The sequence below is a fragment of the Homo sapiens genome, chromosome 12 (assembly GCF_000001405.40).
Source record: "Homo sapiens chromosome 12, GRCh38.p14 Primary Assembly".
In the NCBI taxonomy this organism is placed as follows: Eukaryota; Metazoa; Chordata; class Mammalia; order Primates; family Hominidae; genus Homo; species Homo sapiens.
Genome location: NC_000012.12, coordinates 32673472 through 32687198, shown reverse-complemented (window position 1 = coordinate 32687198; position 13727 = coordinate 32673472). Strand labels below are relative to the sequence as shown.

Genomic DNA, 13727 nt, shown 5'->3' with positions numbered 1-13727 from the left:
CAATGCCTTAGATATGACACCATAAAGCAATAAAAGGAAAAAAAAAGATAAATTAGCCTTAACCAAAAGTAAAACCTTTTGTGTATTGAAGGACACTAACAAGGAAGCAAAAAGACAAGGCCGGGTGTGGTGGCTCATGCCTATAATGCCAGCACTTTGGGAGGCCAAGGCAGGCGGATCACCTGAGGTCAGGAGTTCAAGACCAGCCTGGCCACCTGGGCAACAGAGCGAGACTCCATCTCAAAAAAAAAAAAAAAAAAAGAAAAAAAAGAACTCTTACAACCTCAACAATAAGACAACCCCAACAAACACATGAAAAGATGTTCAACACCATTAGTCATTAGGGAAATGCAAAACAAAACTTCACACCCATTAGGATGACTATAATCAAAAACAGATAATAACAAATGTTGACAAAGATACAGAAAAACTGCACCCTTCAAACATTGCTGGTGGGAATTTTAAAATGGTGTAGCTGCTGTGGAAAAGTGGTTGCTCAAAAAGTTAAACAAAATTACCATAGAACCCAGTAATTTTACTCCTAGGTATATACCAAAATAACTGATAACAGGTACTCAAATACTTGTACACCAATATTCACAGCAGCACTATTCACAACAGCTAAAAGGCAGAAACAACCCAATTGCTCATCAATAGGTGATTGAATAAACCAATGTGGTTTATACATATAACAGAATATTACTCAGCCATTAAATGGAAAAGAAAGAAGAGGGAGTGACAGCTCAATAGTAGTTTTCTTTCGTGATGAAATTGTTTTGGACCTAGACAGAGATGTCATTATGAATGCACTAAATGACACTGAATTATACATTTTATAAAAGGGCTAATTTTGGCTGGGCACAGTGGCTCACACCTGTAATCCCAGCACTTTGGGAGGTCGAGGTGGACGGATCACCTGAGGTCATGAGTTTGAGACTAGCCTGACCAACATGGAGAAACCCTGTCTCTACTAAAAATACAAAATTAGCCAGGCATGGCACATGCTTGTAATCCCAGCTACTTGAGAGGCTGAGGCAGGAGAATCACTTGAACCCGGGAGGTGGAGGTTGCTGTGAGCCGAGATCGCGCCATTGCACTCCAGCCTGGGCAACAAGAGCAAAACTCCATCTCAAAAAAAAAAAAAAAAAAAAAAGGCTAATTTTATGTTCTGCAAATTTCACCTCAATTTTGTTAAGTTAAAAAAAAGCAGCAGCTCATAATCTATACAAAAAAAGAGAAAAACATAAATTTATCTAAGAACACAAGAAAACAATGCATAAGCAGGAATTAAATTATAGTCAATAAATGCTAAAATGTAGACAGCAGTGCTCATGGAGAAAAAAAAGAGAGAGGGACATCAAACTATGAAAAAAGTTGTCCATAAGAGAAGGAAATGGCATAGGTGTCAAAAAGTGCTGTTTTTCAAATAAAGAATTCCAGAATGATTTAGCGCTTAAAAAAAAAAGATAACAACAAGTGTTGATAAGGATGTGCAGAAACCTGAACCCTGGAGGGGATGTGAAATGGTGCAGCCACGGCTGGGCGCAGCAGCTCACGCCTGTAATCCCAGCACTTTGGGAGGCCGAGGTGGGTGGATCATTTGAGGTCAGGAGTTCGAGACCAGCCTGACCAATATAAGGAAACCCTCGCCTCTACTAAAAATACAAAAAGTAGCCGGGCAGTAGTGGCGGGCACCTGTAATCCCAGCTACTCAGGATGCTGAAGCAGGAGAACGCCTTGAGCCTGGGAGGCAGAGGTTGCGGTAAGCCAAGATAGCGCCACAGCACTCCAGTCTGGGCGAGAAAGTGAGACCCTGTCTCAAAAAAAAAAAAAAAAAAAGGTGCAGCCACTATGGAAAACACTTTGGTAGTTTTTCAGAAAGTTAAACGTAAGAATTATCATATGAATCAGCAAGTCTACGCTTAGATATATACCCAAGAGAATCAAAAATACACATTCACTGACCGGGCGCGGTGGCTCACGCCTGTAATCCCAGCACTTTGGGAGGCCGAGGCGGGTGGATCACGAGGTGAGGAGATCGAGACCATCCTGGCTAACACGGTGAAACCCTGTCTCTACTAAAAACAAAAAATTAGCTGGGCGTGGTAGCGGGCACCTGCAGTCCCAGCTACTCGGGAGGCTGAGGCAGGAGAACGGCGTAAACCCGGGAGGCGGAGCTTGCGGTGAGCCAAGATCACGCCACTGCATTCCAGCCTGTGTGACAGAGCGAGACTCCATCTCAAAAAAAAAAAAAAAATACACATTCACACAAAAACTTGTAAACGAATGTTCGCAGAGCATTATTTATTCATAATAGCCAAAAAATAGAAACAACCCAAAAATTCATCAATTGATGAATAAACTGTGCTGTATCTATACAATGTAATATTTATTATTCTGCCATGCTACATAATGGATGAACCTAAAAAACATTATGTTGAGTGGCTCATGCCTATAATCCCAGCACTTTGGGAAGCTGAGGCAGGCAGATCACTTGAGGTCAGGAGTTCGAGACCAGCCTGGCCAACATGGCAAAACCTCGTCTCTACTAAAAATACAAAAAAATTAGCTGGGTGCGGTAGCACGCGCCTGTAATCCGGGCTGAGGCAGAAGAATCACCTGAACCCGGAAGGTGAAGGGTTGCAGTGAGCTGAGATTGTGCCATTGCACTCCAGCCTGAGCAACAGAGCAAAACTCTGTCTCAAAAAAGAAAAAAAAAAAGAATTATGTTGAGCAACAGATGCCTGGCACAAAAGATCAAATCACATATTATAGGATTCCACTAATGTGAAATATCCCAAATAGGCAAATCCATACAGACAAAAAGTAGATTAGTGGTTGCCAGTGATACCTGCTTTTTCCAGTATCATGCATTTTAAAATCCAATGATTCACTAATATATTTTTCAAATTAGGATCTAGGAACCATCTGTATCAGAGTCACCGATGGACCCTCACCCACGTGGGGCTTATAAAATCAAAACCTGTCAGAAGCTGGGGGAGGACAAAACGGGGGTGACTGCTTATGGGCAGGAGTTTTCTTTTTCAGGTAATGAAAATATTTTGGAATTACACTATGGTGGTACAACTTTGTGAACATACTAAACGCTGCTGAGTTGTGTATACTTTATAAGGGTGAATTTTGTGTTACATGAATATTTCAGTATTTTTAATGTTAAATTTTTAAAAGTTGATTTGCAAATTAGAAATTAAAATCCAAATTACTGGCCGGGCATGGTGGCTCATACCTGTTATCCCAGCAGGAGGCTGAGGCAGGCAGATCATTTGAGGTCAGGAGTTTGAGACCAGTCTGGCCAACGTTGTAAAATGCTGTCTCTACTAAAAATACAAAAATTAGGCCGAGCACAGTGGCTCATGTCTGTAATTCCAGCACTTTGGGAGGCCAAGGCAAGTGGATCATGAGGTCAGGAGTTCGAGACCAGCCTGACCAACACAGTGAAACCCCATCTCTACTAAAAATACAAAAATTAGCTGGGCGTGGTGGCATGCACCTGTAATCCCAGCTACTCAGGAGGCTGAGGCAGGAGAATCACTTGAACTCGGGAAGCGGAGGTTGCAGTGAGTTGAGATCGCACCACTGCACTCCAGCCTGGACAACAGAGCAAGACTCCATCTCTAAAAAAATAAATAATAAAATAAAATAAAATCCAAATTATTTTTAGGCTAGGTGCAGTGGCTCACACCTATACTCCTAGCACTTTGGGAGGCCAAGGCAAGAGGATCATTTGAGCCCAGGAGTTTGAGACCAGCCTTGGCAACATAGTAAGGCAGCGATTTTAAATTTAAAAAAAAAAATTAGCCAGATGCGTGCCTGTAGTCCCAGCTACTCAGGAGGCTGAGGCAAGAGGACTGCTTGAGCCCAGGAATTTGAGGTTACAGTGAGCTATGGATTATGCCACTGCACTCCAGCCTGGGTGAAAGAGCCAGACCCTAAAAAAATAAAAATAAAAAATCCAAATTGTTTTTCCTTTTACATTTGTCTGAATTACTGAAGATAGAATGCTGAAATCACTGAAATAAAAGGAAAAGTGTAAAGTACATTACTAGGAACACTAAGCCAGAGTCTCAGGTTAATGTCATCTGTATTCGGATACCTATATTGGGTGGTAGTTTAGATTACATACCTGGAGGGCTCCCCTTTCCAATTCTTAATTTAAGAAATAGGATTAAATTTCCCAAGTTGAGTCACAAAAGTTGTTTTAAGTCTTATCTCCTCTACTTGCAAAGTTACACCATGGTCTAAAAGTATCATCAGCCTTCTCTCTCTCCCCACTGTGTCTGTTCATTTCACACAGATGGTCTCTACTAGAAAAAATAAAAGCAATTTATTTAGCTAACACATAAAACATGTGAATGACTGATAGCTGTAAACAGGATTCCCTCACCTCCACTCCTCCAAGTCCCTAGCCCCCAAATGAGTGTTACTTGGGCATTTCATAAAACCAAAGTTTAAAACATTTAGGGGTCAGCAATGGTTGCCTGGGAAGTGATATATTAAAGCAAGAATGCCACCAAAGTCAGCATGGTACTGGATGGTAGTATGCCATAGATTCAACCTCCCCTAATTTTCCTGCTTTTTCCAGTATCATGCATTTTAAAATCCAATGATTCACTAATATGTTTTTCAAATTAGGATCTAGGAACCATCTGTATCAGAATCACCTATGGTCCCTCACCCAACCCAGGCTTATAAAATCAAAATCTCTGGAGACAGGATCCAGGAAACTTAGTTTCAAAGTGATTCTTAGGCCAGGCGGGGTGGTTCACACCTGTAATCCCAGCACTTTGGGAGGCCGAGACGGGTGGATCACCTGAGGTCGGGAGTTGGATACCAGCCTGACCAACATGGAGAAACTCTGTCTCTACTAAAAATACAAAATTAGCCGGGCGTGGTGGTGCATGCCTGTAATCCCAGCTATGTGGGAGGCTGAGGCAGGAGAATCACTTGAAGCCGGGAGGCAGAGGTTGCAGTGAACCAAGATCATGGCACTGCACTCTAGCCTGGGCAACAAGAGCGAAACTCGGTCTCAAAAAAAAAAAACCAAAGTGATTCTTAATACACACTCAAGTCTGAGAATCACTGTTCCAAAAAGTTCAACAAGATAGAAACTGAAGCCATTTAAGGTATGGATAATATGTAGGATAGAGACTACACTTGAAGTTGTTTTTTAATTTTTTTTTGGAAGAATCAGGGTCTCACTCTGTCGCCCAGGCTGGAGTGCCATCGCAGAATCATAGCTCACTGCAGCCTCAAACTCCTGGACTCAGGCAATCTTCCCAAGTAGCTGGGACTACCGGCACACACTACACACCATAGCACCTGGCTAATTTATACCTGTATTCTGAAGACACAATTACTGCCGATAGGTATACTAGGCAGAACTAAGTACAGAACACTTATATGTCTGGAACTCACTCACTACAATTACTTCATTAAATATAAATGTGAGGTATACATATATGTTACACAACACCAAAGAGTAAAAATGGCAGACATCACAAAGTAATGGTATACTAGTATTCAAACCAAGAAGAGATTCTTGTTTCCCCAACACACTACAAAAAAGGCGGGGGCGGGGGGGCGGTGTGGGGAGAAAATAGGGGCGGGGGGGGCGGTGTGGGGAGAAAATAGTTTCTATTCTCTCTCTTTCTGCTGGGGTGCAGTGACATGCACTCCTGCACGCACCACAGCCTCAACCTCCCAGGCTCAGGTGATCCTCCCACCTCAGCCTGCAGAGTAGCTGGGACTACAGGTTCGCACCACCATGCCCAGCTAATTTTCGTATTTTTCGTAAAGATGGAGTTTCCCCACGTTGCCCAGGCTGGTCTTGAACTCCTGGAATCAAGTGATCTGCCTACCTCGGATAATTTCTATTCTGTATTTCTTCTGTACTTGAGTAAAAGACTGATTATCAGCTAATAAGAACTTAGATGGAAATAACCCTCATTAAATCAAGTAGAAAAACTGACCTCTTGAGAAATTTCAAACACCAACATGCAAATATAGCATATAACTGTCAGTACTAGGATGGTTTTTGCACATGTTAATGGCTTTCAGAAGGATGGGATCTTTACTTTTCTCTCCTGCCACTCTGTATTTTGCCAACAGGTTTACTGACCAAAATAAACTCTATTTTGTGTAAAAAGAAAAAAACAACTTATTGATTTTAAACTATTTATGCTGACACACTATATCCCTAATTCTTTTACTTCCTCATGCTTAAAAAGCACTGAGACTCTCTTTTAAAAGTATGTGGAAAGTTTCTAGTGTGCAGCTAGAAGACACTTCTGAATCACTTACTATCAAAGACTTAATTTATATTATCTCTAACTTTTTACAAAAACAGGTTAGTTTTGATGATAAAAGTCCCAGTGTTTTAAAACATTGTGGTTAGAGTGAGCAATATTTACTCAAAATATTTACAGAGCACTTACTATATGTCCCAGACTGAACAAAATTATGTTCAATAAAAAATAATCCTCGTAATTTGTTTGATGCTTCTGAGTCTCCAAACATTACAAATATTGTTACAAATACTAGAATACGTAGGCAAGATTGAGCAGAATCTTTCCCAATCCTATCGCAGACCAAGGAAATGTGTTTCTAAAACAATTTCTATTGCTTCAACTATTTAAAAGCCAAAAAAACAAACAAACAAACAAACGAGTACAGGGTGTCTATAGTTTCCAGTGTTTGGATAGCCACTAATACTTTGAACAGTAAGTTCCTTCTGATAGCACTTATACCCTATACTATGTACCTCCTGGAAAATGATGGGGAAACCGCTCCTTCTCAATAGAAAAGATACTATTAAGAAATGAAAGCACTTAATATCAATATACTAATTTCTAAAATCCGTTTCTCTGAACTCTAATCGAAGTAGCAGAGAAAAGGAAAATTATACTTCTCCTCTGTCACTCTAGAAATAACAGTTATTTTGCCAACATTTCTGCATTCAAAAAAAAATGAGTTAGCTATGAGAAGACCAGAGAAACTGATGCCCAATTTAGGTCACGATCACAAAACTGTGGAAGACAAAAAGCACAGCCTACGCAGAAAAATCGGATATTCCTTCCCAACACCCGCAGAACTCTAGATACACGTTTTGTTTTTCTTTTTTTAAAATGCTGCTTCGGCGTTCTCGAAACCTGGTGGAATTATACTGCAGGAAAACACTGGCGCTCACGCACCGTAGCGTCTCTCAGCCTCAACAGAGCGATTCCAAAACTAACTCCGCAGTCCCTGGGCAAGGCAAGGAGGGAAATAAAACACCCGTCTCACGAAAGCCAACAGTGATGGGAACAGCCAGCCCACCGAGCCCAGCGAGACCCGAGTGCCCCGCGCGTCCCCCAGGTGCCCTTGGAGGCAGCGGCACGCGGACGAGGCCGCGCCCGGTCCCAGCGGACTCCAGTTCCGCCCGCCGGCCCCATCCTTCCCTCTCCTGTCCCCGGGACCCGCCGGGCTAGCCAGGCCCGCCGCGCCGGCTCCGCCCCTGGCCGGGCCCCGGATTCTCCGCCTTGATGCAACGCTGCCCCGGGAGGGCGGGTGCGGCAGAGCCCGGAGAGCCCTGGGGCCCCCAGCAAGGCCCTCCTCCCACAGGCCCCAAAGGCTGGCGCGGGAGTGGGCGCTGGCGCGGGAGTGGGCACTGCCGCAGCACCGACCAGGCCTGCGGCCGGGGTCTGGCCCGAGCGAACGCCGCCTGCTGCTCTCACCTGCGTTCCCACTACGACGATTTGAGGCAGCTGGATGATGTCGGCGCCCACCGTGTTGAAGACGTCCTGGAGCTTGTTTATGACAGGAATTAGCGCCTCCATGACTCTGAAAACACGGGGCCCCAGTGCCCGCCGGCCACGGCAATGAATGGGGCCGGGGCCCACAGTTCGCCTCCTTCCTCCTCTCCTCCGCCCTCTCCTCGGAAGCCGGCACCCATTGGACCGGGCCCGCCGGCTACCTGCCCCCTCCCGGCAGGCCATGCGCTGCGAGGGAGGTGGAGAGGAGCAAGGCCTGCTGGGAGTTGTAGTTCTGGAGCGGAGGAACGCTACTCCCCACAGCTTCCAGGAGGCTGCGCGGCACCGGTGGGCCCTAGCCTGGGACTGGGATGCTGCGCAGGCTCTAGTCAAAGGCTAGGAGCAGGCCGGGAGCGCAGGAGGAAGGCCGTAAATTTATGCCTGTCCTCAAGGCACGATGGATGTGACAGTGCTGGGTGTGAATATGTGTTAAAGGCGCAATGGTGTGTCTCTTAATTATCCAGTGTCACTTCCTTTTATTTATTTTTTATTTATTTATTTTTTTTTTTTTTTTGAGACGGAGTCTCACTCTGTCGCCCAGGCTGGAGTGCAGTGGCGCGATCTCGGCCCACTGCAAATTCCGCCTCCCGGGTTCACGCCATTCTCCTGCCTCAGCCTTCGGAGTAGCTGGGACTACAGGCACCCACCACTACGCCCGGCTAATTTTTTGTATTTTTAGTAGAGACGGGGTTTCACTGTGTTTTCCAGGATGGTCTCGATCTCCGGACCTAGTGATCCACCCGCCTCGGCCTCCCAAAGTGTTGGGATTACAGGCGTGAGCAGTGTGACTTCCTTATGAAGACACTTTCTCTAGAAGGACGGGTTGGAAAGGCTTAAAGAAAAGCTTATGGCCGCAAACAACCAAACTGGGTGCAAAAAAATCTGCACGCTGATACGAGAATGTGTGGGGTGTTATTTTGCAAAAATACAAAAACCAGCCCAGGTTAGAATACGCGGGTTCTCCAGGGGTTTTGTAAACAAACAAACAAACAAACAAAATGTGTGTTCAGGACCGAGCGCGGTGTAATCCCAGCACTTTAGGAAGCAGAAGCAGGAGGATCGCTTGAGCTGGGAGTTCGAGACCAGCCTGGTCAACATAGTGAGACCTCATCTCTACCAAATAAATAAATAAATAAATAAAAAAGCAGGGGTCGGAGCAGCGGGGGGCGGTGTTCATGAAAAAAATCTTAGAGTATTGGAGTTTTACAGGGGAAGAGCTGGGCATTTATTATCAATATTATGTATAAACCTTTATTTGCTGTAGCCTGATTCCTGGCAAAGTAGACATCTGATAACTGCCTTACTCACTCTTTGCTCATACCGTTCTTTTTTTTTTTTGAGACAGAGTCTGACTCTGTCGCCCAGGCTGGAATGCAGTGGCGCAATCTCGGCTCACTGCAGCCTCCTCCTCCCAGGCTGAAGTGATTCTCCTGCCTCAGCCCCCCAAGTAGCTGTTATTACAGGCACCCGCCACCACCCTGGGAAAATTTTTGTATTTTTAGTAGAGACGGGTGGGGGGCGGGGTTTCACCATGTTAGCCAGGCTGGTCTCGAACTCCTGACCTCAAGTGATCCGCCCATCTTGGCCTCCCACAGTCCTGGGATTACAGGCCTGAGCCACCATGCCCGGCCCATACTGTTATATTTCTAAATGTTGTTTTTCTTTTTAGACAGATAGTATCCCTCCTCTACTCCAAACCTCCAAAGGTAAAAGTAAACCTCAAAGTAAAAAGGTGACATTTGAGTAAAGAATTAAAGCAGGTGAGGAGAGGCCAGGCACCGTGGCTCACGCCTGTAATTCCAGCACTTTGGGAGGCCAAGGCAGGCGGATCACTTGAGGTCAGGAGTTCAAGACCAGCCTGACCAACATGGAGAAACCCCGTCTCTACTAAAAATACAAAAATTAACCGGGCGTGGTGGTGCATTCCTGTAATCCCAGCTACTCAGGAGGCTGAGGCAGGAGACGGGCAGATCACTTGAGGTCAGGAGTTCAAGGCCAGCCTGGGCAACACGGCAAAACCCAGTCTCTACAAAAAATACAAAAAAATTAGCTTGCCTGTCGTGGTGGTGCATACCTGTGGCCCCAACTACTTGGGAGGCTGCAGTAGGAGGATCACCTAAGCTTGGGAGGTGGGGACTGCAGTGAACTGTGATCGTGCCACCGCACTCCAGCCTAAGTGACAGAGTGAGGCCCTGTGTCAAAAAAAAAAAAAGAGAAAAGAGAAAAGAAAACATAATAAGAGCACTTTTTCCAGTCTGAGCAAGAGGATAGAGATTCGAGAAAGACTTCCTAGAAGTTACTAAATTTAATCTCCATGAGGACAAGAACCACCAGCAGTAGTGGAAGTTGTGCACTACGCAACTCCAGTGGGTGCCATTCACCTGCTTAGCTGTACACAATGGCTGCGGGGAACATGCTTGATTTGTTCAGCAGGACAAATGGCAGGTGCTTAATAAATATCTGTGAACAAATGGATGAAGTAAGCCAAGACCTAAAGATCCATTAGTGGTGTTTTGGCATCTTGACAGGTTTTGTGAACATCTCCTCTTTGATTATTTTCAAAAAAAAAATTTTTCAGAGATAAAATAAGACAAAAATTTCAGAACTCCAAAAAACAGTTTTATTCCAAGTCTCTTGACTTTCTACCAAAGATAATATTACATAATAGTCAGATATTACCCACTTTGCTTCTCACCCCTCTGTTGATGGAGCTTTTGTTTTCTTCTAAAGAAAACAGAAGGCCGGGCACGGTGGCTCATGCCTGTAATCCCAGTACTTCAGGAGGCCAAGGTGGGCATATCACCTGATGTCGGGAGTTCAAGACCAGCCTGACCAACATGGAGAAACCCCATCTCTACTAAAAATACAAAAATTAGCTGGGCGTGATGGTGCACGCCTGTAATCCCAGCTACTCGGGAGGCTGAGGCAGGAGAATTGCTTGAACCCGGGAGGCAGAGGTTGCGGTGAGCCGAGATTGCACCATTGCATTCCAGCCTTGGCAACAGGAGCAAAACTCCGTCTCAAAAAAAAAAAAAAAAAAAAAGAGCCAGGCCCGGTGGCTCACGCCTGTAATCCCAGCACTTTGGAAGGCCGAGGTGGGCGGGTCACCTGAGGTCAGGAGTTCAAGACCAGCCTGACAAACATGGTGAAACCCCATCTCTACTAAGAATACAAAAAAAAAATTAGCCTGGTGTGGCGCGTGCCTGTAATCCCAGCTACTCGGGAGGCTGAGGCAGGAGAATCGCTTGAACCCGGGAGGCAGAGGTTGCAGTGAGCCGAGATCGCGCCACTGCACTCCAGCCTGGGCGGCAAGAGCAAAACTCCAACTAAAAAAAAAAAAAAAGAAGAAAAAAAACCAATTTCGGCTTTCATGTTTTAAGTTCAGAACACTCTTGTTTGTGGGAAATCAATTTAACTAATAAGTGGCTAAATGGATTTCCCACAAAAAAGAGTCTTTGTGCATCTAAGAATAATGTGTTCTTCAGTGGCTTCCTGTGGGAATCACATTAAACCATTATCGGATATCAAAAGGCCTTTAAAAAAACCTCTTCTCGGCCAGGTGCGGTGCCTCACACCTGTAATCCCAGCACTTTGGGAGGCCGAAGTGGGTGGATCACGAGGTCAGGAGATGGAGACCATCCTGGCTAACACGGTGAAACCCCGTCTCTACTAAAAATACAAAAAATTAGCCAGGCGTGCTGGCACGCGCCTGTAGTCCTAGCTACTGGGGAGGCTGAGGCAGGAGAATTGTTTGAACCTGGGAGGCAGAGGTTGCAGCAAGCCAAGATCGCGCCACTGCACTACAGCCTGGGCAACAGAGTGAGACTCTATCTCAAAAAAAAAAAACAACAACAACAAAAAACACCTCTTCTCCTGCAACCATCCCTCTCTCACCATAGCTTTATGATTTAGGCAGGATAGCTAATTGTAAGGACAGAAATTTAATTCTGAGCTAACTTGCCTCAAAAATGACTGAATGTCTGGGCGCAGTGGCTCTAGCCTGTAATCCAAGCACTTTGGGAGGCCGAGATGGGTGGATCAGTTGGGGTCAGGAGTTCAAGACCAGCCTGGCCAACATGGTGAAACCTCGTCTCTACTAAAAACACAAAAATTAGCTGGGGGTGGTGGTGAGAGCCTGTAATCCCAGCCACTCGGGAGGCTGAGGCAGGAGAATTGCTTGAACCCGGGAGGCGGAAGTTTCAGTGAGCCAAAATCACGTCACCGCATTCCAGCCTGGGTGACACAGTGACACTCCACCTCAAAAAAAAAAATGACTGGAACTAGGAGCTCAGGCAGAATCAGAGCTCTACATCTTATCACTACATCGTCTATTTCATTCTCTCACGCAGTTTACTCCTGTGGAATGAGGTGAGTGTGCTGTGGGGGAGGGTGTAGGGGATCTCATTCAGCAAGCTGTCTCACAGCAGATGAGGCAGAGAGAACTGGGGAGGAACTGAAACCTAGGAACCTGGTTTCTGCCTTGCTTCTCTAGTATATTAGTTCCCTATTGCTGCCTTAACAAATTACCACAATTTTAGTGGCTTAAAACAACAAAAATGTGGCCAGGCGCAATGGCTCACTTCTGTAATCCCAGCACTTTGGGAGGCCGAGGCGGGCGGATCACGAGTTCAGGAGATTGAGACCATCCTGGCTAACATGGTGAAGCCCTGTCTCTAGTAAAAATACAAAAAATTAACCGGGCGTGGTGGCGGGTACCTGTAGTCCCAGCTACCCGGGAGGCCGAGGCAGGAGAATGGCGTGAACCTGGGAGGCAGAGCTTGCAGTGAGCCAAGATCACGCCACTGCACTCCAGCCTGGGCAACACAGTGAGACTCCATGTCAAAAAAAAAAAAAAAGTATTGTTTTACAGTTCTATAGTTCAGTAGTCTCACACAGGTCTCACTGGACTAAAATCAAGGTGTCACCAGGGCTGCAAACCCTCCTAAAGCCTCTAGCAGGGAATTCACCTCCTTGCCTTTGTTAGGGGCCCCCTGCATTCCTTGCTGGTTACCTCCTTCCAACCTCTTCAAAGCCAGCAATGTCGCATCTCTTTAACTCTTCTGCTGTCATCAGGCCTCTGACCCCCAGAAAAGCTTCTCTGTGTTTAAGGGCCCATCATTAGATTGGCCAACCTGGACAACCCAGGATAATATCCCTGTCTCAAGGCCTGTACCCTTAATCACATCTACAGAGTCTCTCCTGAGACATAAAGTTCACAGGCTCCAGGGATTAGGACATGGACTTATTGGAGGGGCCTACTGCACCTGGTTAAGGTGATTGGTCTAGGGATGGACCTGCAGGACCATTTAGAATCCTTCTCTGAGAATTTCCTAACCTGAATTTGAACAAAAATATTTTCTCTCTCTGGTTATAGAACTGTAAGCATGTGAGTCAATGTCTCCAAAGATCATGTTTCCTATCTCATGGAATAAATTGGTTTGCAAGAATAAACTTCTTTATTCACCTTGAAGAACTTCCCCAAATTCAGTAACTTACCCATATATATACATATATATATATATTTTTTTTTTTTTTTGAGACAGAGTCTTGCTCTATCACCCAGGCTGGAGTGCAGTGGTGCAATCTCAGCTCACTGCAAGCTCCGCCTCCTGGGTTCACGCCATTCTCCTACCTCAGCCTCCCGAATAACTGGGACTACAGGCGCCCACCGCCACACCCGGCTAATTTTTTGTATTTTTAGTAGCGATGGGGTTTCACCATGTTAGCCAGGATGGTCTTGATCTCCTGACCTCGTGATCTGCCCGCCTCAGCCTCCCAAAGTGCTGGGATTACAGGCATGAGCCACTGCGCCTGGCCAACTTTCCCATATTTTTAAATGTACATGTGCTGTACAGCACATAACATCAGAATTCTAATCCCCATAGTTAACCATATGAATTTCTCCATTTTTCCTTGTTG

At 45.4% G+C, this 13727-nt stretch overlaps 1 protein-coding gene across 9 annotated transcripts in view, besides 2 other annotated features; it reads right to left on the bottom strand.

The window, feature by feature from the left end:
- DNM1L (dynamin 1 like) overlaps positions 1-7898 on the bottom strand; it is a 66350-nt gene extending 58452 nt beyond the window's left edge. For all 9 annotated transcript variants that reach the window (NM_001278464.2, NM_001278465.2, XM_011520543.4 and 6 more), the window contains exon 1: positions 7734-7898. In NM_001278464.2, coding sequence (NP_001265393.1) covers positions 7734-7835 — 102 coding nt within the window. In that variant the 5' untranslated portion in view covers positions 7836-7898. The remainder of the gene's footprint in view (positions 1-7733) is intronic.
- Positions 7341-7750: a silencer, noted in NCBI's record as "silent region_4339". NCBI's record gives its function as "represses an Ori minimal core promoter by ATAC-STARR-seq in GM12878 lymphoblastoid cells {active_cell/tissue: GM12878}" and the evidence as "EXISTENCE:reporter gene assay evidence [ECO:0000049][PMID:35858748]".
- Positions 11806-13005: an enhancer, noted in NCBI's record as "MED14-independent group 3 enhancer chr12:32827128-32828327 (GRCh37/hg19 assembly coordinates)". NCBI's record gives its function as "activates an origin of replication core promoter dependent on BRD2, BRD4, P300/CBP and CDK7 cofactors, and independent of MED14, by STARR-seq in HCT116 cells {active_cell/tissue: HCT116}" and the evidence as "EXISTENCE:reporter gene assay evidence [ECO:0000049][PMID:35650434]".